Below are 8,584 nucleotides of genomic sequence, written 5' to 3' on the forward strand. Positions count from 1 at the left end.
CAAGTCATTAAATCTTTCTGATTCTGATTTCTCACTTTTAAAATAGAGCCACACTTTTTCTCTTGGATTAGCTTATGCATAAAATAAAATAATTGATTAAGTATTAGGCATCATATTGAAAAATAGAGATGTACTATGGTTTGAATGTGTCCTCTAAAAACATATGTTGGAAACTTAATCCCCATTGTATCAGTATTGGGAGGTGAGGCCTAGTACAAGGCTATTAGGCCATGAGGGCTTTACCCCTCATGAATAGATTAATGCTGTTATCACAGAAGTGGGTTTGTTTTAAAAGGGCAAATTCAGTCCCCTTTTCTCTTCATTTCTCTCACCCTCTTTGCCCTTCAGCCATGAAATGATATAGCAAGAAGGCCCTCGAGAGATGCCAACCCCTCAATCATAGACTTCCCAGCCTCCAGAACCACATGACAATAAGTTTCTGCTAATTATAAATTACCAGTCTTAGGTATTCTGTTATAGCAGCACAAAATTAAGTAAGACAGGATAGAGAGGGACATCTGGCTTCCGAGCGGGAACCCTCATAGCCCCAGCGACAAAAGAATTAAACATGGGTGATGTTGAGAAAGGCAAGAAGGTTTTTGTTCAGAAGTCCGCCCAGTGTCACACCATGGAAAAGGGAGGCAAAAGCGCAAGACTGGGCTAATCTGGGTGGTCTCTTTGGGCGGAAGACAGGTCAGGCCGTTGGATTCTCTTACACAGATGCCCATAAGAACAAAGCATCACCTGGGGAAAAGGATACACTGATGGAGTATTTGGAGAATCTCCAAAAGTACATTCCTGGAACAAAAATGATCTTTTCCGGCATTAAGAAGAAGACAGAAAGGGCAGAGTTCATAGCTTATCTCAAAAAAAGCTACTAATGAGTAATAATTGGCCACTTCCTTATTTATTACAAAACAGAAATGTCTCATGACTTTTCTATGTGCACCATAATTTAATAGATCTCACACACCAGAATTCAGATCATCGATGACTGACAGAATGTTTTTGCTGGGCAGTCCTGATTTAACTAAGACTGGGTTGTGGTTAAATGAATATGTTCAGTTTTTTGAATTTTAATAGTAGTTACAATTCACTAAATGCTATCGCTGTTTACTCCTTCTAAAGATATGACTGGACTTCATTAGTAATGTTCAACTTTTCACAAATATGGTGAATGCCATCTTAAAACTTATTGGAGTTTGGTTTTATATTTAGAGTTATATAACTGGTTATATTAATATATTTAAATACTGGAGAAATTCCTTCATTGTCTCAAAACCACCTGTGCTTTGTGTTCATTTGCCTCTAAAGGGTAAGGGCTGAAGATAAAGTAGCAACATCTACTTTATATTTTTGGCCTCAACTAGACCAATCTAATTAGAATTCTCTGTATCTAAAATGGTTCATTTTACTTACTGAAAAGCATTTTAGTGAGATTTATATGTAATATCAAATAAAGATTATTTAACACTTCTCACATTTTATAGATGATCTATAAGAGCAGATGCTTTTAAAATAGTAGCAAGTTAAACTTCATTCTTGAATTATTTACTATCTAAGTCAGACCAAGTTATAATTTAGGATTGTCTTTAAACAGCCATTCAGAAACATAAAGCTGTAGAACTGCTGTGTATTTATGATTGGGAATGGTGCTTTTGCCAACTTAAAAGAGTTAAAGTAGAGGAGATACACACAAATTCAAGAATAATGTGTGATCATAAGACTTAAAATAATTAAAAACAAAATCACAGACCAAAAAAAAAAAAATGAAGTAAGACAGAGTGCACAGAATTTGGTGATGTCTAAGGAAAAAAAAAAAGAGACAAAACCTGGGAACTCTTGACATGAACATCAGATCATCTGGACATGATGTTTACGAATACTCAGGGTTAGGATTAGCTAAGGATCACACAGTAGGCAAAGGAACTCCAGGGTATAGAAACAGAGAGAATAACCCACTTCTTCTCCACATCAATAGGTAGTATGAACCTAATACAATCTACTACCTGGAAGCAGGGCAGCTGAAATGAAAGGAGCCCAAATTTGGACTTAGAAATCATGCACCCCATATTAAGCATCATCGTTCTGCCTTTAGCAATTTTGGTAACTTACTCCTTTTAATAGATATTAACAATTTCTAAATTGGCAAGAAGTGGCTTTTTCCTATCCCTGTAATTTCCCAAATCAAAACACCATCAAATTCTCTTTGGTTTCAATAATGTTCCTAATTTTGCAGATGTATCCTTTGTTTAGTTAAAGTATTTCTCATTTTTCTAGTTAAGGTGACTGAGGAGCCTGAGAGTGAGCATTTTAAATGGTTATAGTGACTTGAAAAGAAGTTAGCAGATGTTTTCTGAACAAAAGCCTGAAAGGTCTAGGAAGGTGATCTCTGGATCTATGAGACTTTATCTAGTGGGGGAAGATAATAGGAATGTTCCAAAAGAAAATTATTCCCTCAGTGCCCCTAGTGGTGATATTAGAGATTCTCTAAAAATATATCTTGAACATTATGCTTTAGATTATCATTGAAAAGGCTATACCCTTCACATATTTTAGAGTCTACCTTTCTTCCAACAAGTTAAAACTGGTTTATGAAAGATGTTCACACATTTTCATATTTAAGCATATTATTTAAATTTGTAATATTATACTATTGATAATATGATTCAGAAGCATAATTTAGTAAACATTGAATACTGAAGTCTAATGCAATGAGAAGTAAACAAGACTAAATTCATTTTAAATTCAATAATTTCTCATAAATACAAATTCTGATTTGTAAAGACTAAAAATATGTTTCAAGTATTGTCTTCATACCCCTTCTTTCATTCCACCTTCCTATCTCCAATCATTTTGGTCATTACTAAAGCTCTTGAGATATCATTAAAAAATAATCAAAGGATATTTAAATATTAGATATTACTCTTTCCCTTTCTGCAATAAGCAGTATTTGTGTTGAAAATATTCTTTAAATGTATTTAATTCAGAAAATCACACATACAAATCCTGGTAAGAGCCTGAAGAGTACTCAGCCGAAACAAATAATGCAATTATGTGCTCAACTGGTTACTCAAATTTTAGGACCTTGTTCATAGGTAAAGAATTCTAATACTGGCAGTAATAATACAGACATGTTGTCACTTTATAAGTATATGACTTTGGTGTGTGTGTGAATGTACAATTTAGCCGTAGCAAAGATAAAATTTGGTTCAGGTATAAACTAGATGGCCTTTCAACAGGCTGTGTGGTATGCTTTAGGTTTCTTCACAATATTATAACTTGTTCTGGGCATAGGTTGATTGTACTTCTCTAACCATTTGAAGTTAGTTGTGACTTGCTTTGGCCTGTGCAATGTGAACAAAAGTGAAACACTTCATTTATGGGCACCAATGGAAGTTTTGAGAGCCTTTACACTCAGTGTTTCTCTGTGCCACAGCATTCAGTAACATTCTAGATGATGGCGATTTGAGCAGGCTGGGTTTTAGAGGGAGGATAACGTTGGAGCAGAGCCCAGAGCAAACGCAAGCAACTGTGTTGGTTTAAGTCACTAAGATTTGGAGGTCATATGTTCCTGCAGCACACCCTAGTTCACCTGAATACCACAGGTTGTTTCTTGAGACTCTATAACTCCACGTTATTTGGAGCTTTGAATTCAGAGTCTGAAATACAGTTAAAAAAAAATTACTGCTCAAAAAACATTTGTCACTACCAGATAGCTGGGAAAACTATGTCAATCAATGCCTGTTAAATGAGCAAATCTCTGAATCCTATCTTCTAAGTCCTTGAAAATATCTAAGTCAGTTATCAATTTGTGTACCTTTCTCAACCTGACAGTATCCAGTGAGAGACTGGAGATGATTGTAGTTCAAGATTTTCTTTTTCAGTTCTGTCTTTTGACTGAGATGATAGAAAACATAAATTTCTTTTATTCCACCACTGTCCAAGCCTTGAAATCAAAGGATTACACAGCGTCTGGATTAAACCGTCAGCTTGTACAAGTTTGAGCTAAGAAAAGGAAAAGTGTTGTTCAGTGTCTAAAACATTGTAGTACTCTAAATATAGAGTCATGGTGATACTTGAAACTTGTGAGGGAATGTGAAGAAAAGAAAATATAAACATAAATCACAAAATCTACTGGCAACATGAATGTACAAGTAATATTTGACAGAGGAGTAATCAAGATGGTGATAACCAGCCCTAATCAAATCAATAGTAGATGCATGAGAAGAATGTGAAATGCCTACATAATCATTTCCAGCAATTTAGGGGTGCTAAATGATGGTAAGCAATGTGACAAGGCACTTTAAGTATTTGATATGGTTTGGCTGTGTCCCAACCCAAATCTCAACTTGAATTGTATCTCCCAGAATTCCCATGTGTTGTGGGAGGGACCCAGGGGGGAGGTAATCGAATCATGAGGGCCAGTATTTCCTGTGCTATTCTCGTGAGAGTGAATAAGTCTCACTATGTCTGATGGGTTTATCAGGGGTTTCTGCTCTCACTTTTTTCTCATTTTTCTCTTGCTGCCCATGTAAGAAGTGCCTTTCACCTCCCACCATGATCCTGAGGCCTCCCCAGCTACGTGAAATTGTAGGTCCAATTAAACCTCTTTTTCTTCCCAGTCTGGGGTATGTCTTTATCAGCAGTGTGAAAACAAACTAATACAGTATTTAATCAAGACATAGAACAAGATCATGGTAATATATCTACCAGAGGGCAATATCGATACTTTCAAATTAAAAATGACTACAGCAGCATTTCCCCCAAATAATTCTGCAAAATTCTTCTTTTGGGAGTTATTAATGGGTGCACTGCAAAAATGTATTCTATGTAATGTATTCTTACATTAAAGATTCATGGCACATATTTAATATGGTAAAGATTCCGTGAAGGCCTGACATAATAAAACCTATTTAATCTAGTGTAATCTGGCATTTCCCAAACTTTTTTGAGAATGGAATACTATTTTGAGAGAAGGGAAGCAGCACTGTCTTTATTTTAGTGTGGGGACTTTTTTGTATCTTTTTTTAATTGAGTCTTACATTTTTCCCTGTTGTCATTTTCTGATGCTCACCACACCCCATGTAACCTGTGTTAACAACCTTATATGTAGATATGTTTATCACTCCATATTTGGTTGAAGGCTCATACAGTTCTACACATACGACATATAGATACAAGAAAGGTTTTATCCCCCTATTACTTGTTCCACAACATGAGATCACGTTTTACATACCTTACTTTAATATTTTATTCACACAACAATACGCATAGAAATCCCCTCCAATTCAGGTGATATAAGTCTAATTGATGCTTTTTAAATAACTGCATAATATTCCATCCTGTGAAAAAAACTGTGATTGTTTAAGCCACTCCCATATTTCCCACATCAAGAAGCAGTATCCTCTGCCGAGATGCTCCATGTCTTCCCTAATTAGCCCTTTTTCAATTACATGATTACTTTAGAATATTTGTACATTCTTCACATTTTCTAGTATTCCTACCACACTACCACCACCACAGCCACAAGTGATCTTTGGAAGACATTTATTTCCTCCTTTCCCCATCCCCAGATTCTAGGTTTTGTGAAGATAGCTTAGTACTTATTCAAATTTTCTCTGTATTAAGTTTATTCTGAGAGCCCTTATTTTCACTTTAACCCTTAAGGCATATGTTGCAAACTTTCTAACCTATTACATTAAGATAATGATAAGGATAGTGATAAAGATAGAGCTGGAAATATACAGATAGAGATAGAGATAGAGATAGAGACAGAGGTAGAGATGAATATAGATAGCTATAAAATTTTGCTCACCACAGTTTTTCTCATCTTCCTTCCTTTTATATTAAAGTTTCTCTTTTGGTTCCTTTAGTGTTTGGTTATTTTATTTTTTTCTCTCAAGTGTATTACTCATATGAGGTTCATGGACAATATAGTCTCTAAATTCCCAAACATTTCCAAATATCTGCTGTATCTTGACATATCACTGATATCTTGGCTGGAGGATAATCCTTGGGTTATGATCAGGCTTATTTATAACATTTGAGGGCCCCAGAACAATGACAAAACTAGAATTCAACATATCATATGCCTAAATATCTAAAAATTACACATACATATATCAGAATGTCAAATTTTATGTCAACTAAAAAATAAACTAAAAGTTATAAACCAAGTTAATAAATCATTAAACATGTTATAGTATCCTACCTTGATAAGCATGCCTTTATAACAACTGACAGTCTAGGTTCTAATCAATTATTTGGCTATAGTTCTGTATCGGAAAGTGGTAGTACAGAAAGGGCCAATTTCTGGCTCGTGACCATTGGCTCCAGGTGAGCACAGCCCCATGACTCATTAAATTCATTGCTCTATGAGGAGGGGAATAGCCAGAAAACGGTCAGAGTGTTTCACTCTAATAATCACAAGTTGGGGCAAGAAGCCCTTTTTCTTTGTTGTAAGAGTGATATTTGTTGTGGTGCTTTTTGTCAGTGGTCTGTAGATTCTATTCAAGAGCTTACAGCTTCAGTGTTGCAAATGAGAAATAAAATTCAAATTTGATATTTTTTTTCCTTTCTAGGTAATTTATTATTTCTGCATTAATGTTTCTAAGAGTTTCTGTTTATCCTTGGAAAGTTTAGCAAACAGCCCACATAACCTATTTTTGCATGGCCTGGAAGAAGGTGTATGATAAGTGGAATCACTGGCTTTGTGATTTGTAAAGAGCTTCTAGTAAGAGATTACTTCCTTCCTGATGGGAGAGTAGATGGAGTACTTTCTGCCATTAACACAGGCTAAGTGAGGCCAAAGGGTAGCTTCAAAAGAATAATTCAGAGAGATCATGGGTGCTTGCAAGAAAATGAGATGTCTCTCACTTCCCATATGAGGCTGCAATTTCTCCCTGGTAATGCCATGAGACAGGAGGATATTGAGAGCTCTTGAGAGCCCTTAAGACATTTGAGGCATAAAATAGCTTTGAAATATATATCCTCTTGTGGTCTAGTTAGTTCTAAAGGTAGGAGTTCTGCTGAAATTGTCTATAGCAGCAAGGCCAAAAGAGGTTATAGAGAGCTATGCCTTGGAAGAACATGGGTAAAACCCTCAGTCTTAGTTTTATGGACTTGGAGGACTTATAAGAGAGCCTAAGCACAAAGGGTGGAAGTTGTAGGACTACATAGAGAGATGCCATGCAAATAAGGTGACGCCCTACCTGGAGAGACTGAAGGAAGACACAACTGCTCCTTCCTGTGATAGTCTTCAGTATTAGAAGGGGGCCAAGATGAAGCAAAACAGTGCCTCAAGAAAGCCACACACTTCATATATGGGAAAACCACACAGCAGAAGATGCTACCAAGTTGGACAAAATGGGATCACCAGCCACAGCAGGTGACCAATAAATGATGTAAGAAGAACTCTGTGTACTATTTCCCTCTCCCTTCCTCAGCACAAAAGGAACTCCTTTAAGAAAAGAAAGAAAGTAAAATAATCTCAGAACAGTTGACTTGGACTCTTCCCCACCCTCTACCACTCATACCGGCCTCCAAGCAGCCAGGTAAGAGCTCTAGTCTGCACTAGAGCAGGAGATAGTATAAATTTTTGAATTTTTTTACACTCAATTTAACTAAATTTGATAGCTGAAAATAGCCACAAAGGAATGAAATCTGCTAAAGATGTTGCTAAGGGACAGGATGGGAGATTGAGAGAGCATGGTTAAAAGTAGGAGATTTCTTAAAGAACTACAAGTAGAACTACCATTTGATTCAGCAATCCCTCTACTGGGTATCTATCCAAAAGAAAAGTCATTATATCAAAGAGACACCTGCACACACATGTTTATAGCAGCGCAATTCTCAATTGCAAAGATATGGAACCTAAGTGCCCATCGACCAACGAGTGAATAAAGAAAATGTGGTATATACACACTATGTGTATATATAAAACAAAAAAGTGGTATATATATATATATGTATATATGTATATATATATGTATATATGTATATATATGTGTATATATGTATATATATGTGTATATATGTATATATATGTGTGTATATATATGCATATATATGCATATATATGTGTGTATATATATGTGTGTGTGTATATATATATATACTACTCAGCCATAAAAAGGAATAAAATAATATATTTTTCAGCAACTTGGATGGAGCTGGAAGCCATTATTCGAAAGTGAAGTAACTCAGGAATGCAAAACCAAATATCGTATGTTCTCATTTGTAAGTTGGAGTTAAGCTATGAGGATGCAAAAGCATAAGAATCATATAGTGGACTTTGAGGACTCAAAGGAGAAGAATGGGTGGGGCAGTGATGGATAAAAGACAACATATTGGGTACAGTGTACACTTCTCCAGTTATGGGTGCACCAAAATCCCAGAAATCACCACTAAAGAACTTCCATGTAACCAAAAACCACTCGTACCCCAAAACTATTGAAATATAAAATCAAATAAAGAAGTGCTTGGAAAAATAAACGTTGCATCACGTTTATATTTGTTAGAGCATCTCCTACCATTGGCAAAGATATAGTGATGGTTCTACCTTGAAGCCTTTTTTGATGCA

The 8,584-nt window shown here is 35.7% G+C and overlaps 1 pseudogene; it reads left to right on the forward strand.

Moving 5' to 3' along the window:
- On the forward strand, positions 507–1,185 carry CYCSP44 (CYCS pseudogene 44; annotated as a pseudogene).
- The last annotated feature ends 7,399 nt before the right edge of the window (positions 1,186–8,584 follow it).

Source organism: Homo sapiens, chromosome X (genome assembly GCF_000001405.40).
Source record: "Homo sapiens chromosome X, GRCh38.p14 Primary Assembly".
Classification (NCBI taxonomy): domain Eukaryota; kingdom Metazoa; phylum Chordata; class Mammalia; order Primates; family Hominidae; genus Homo; species Homo sapiens.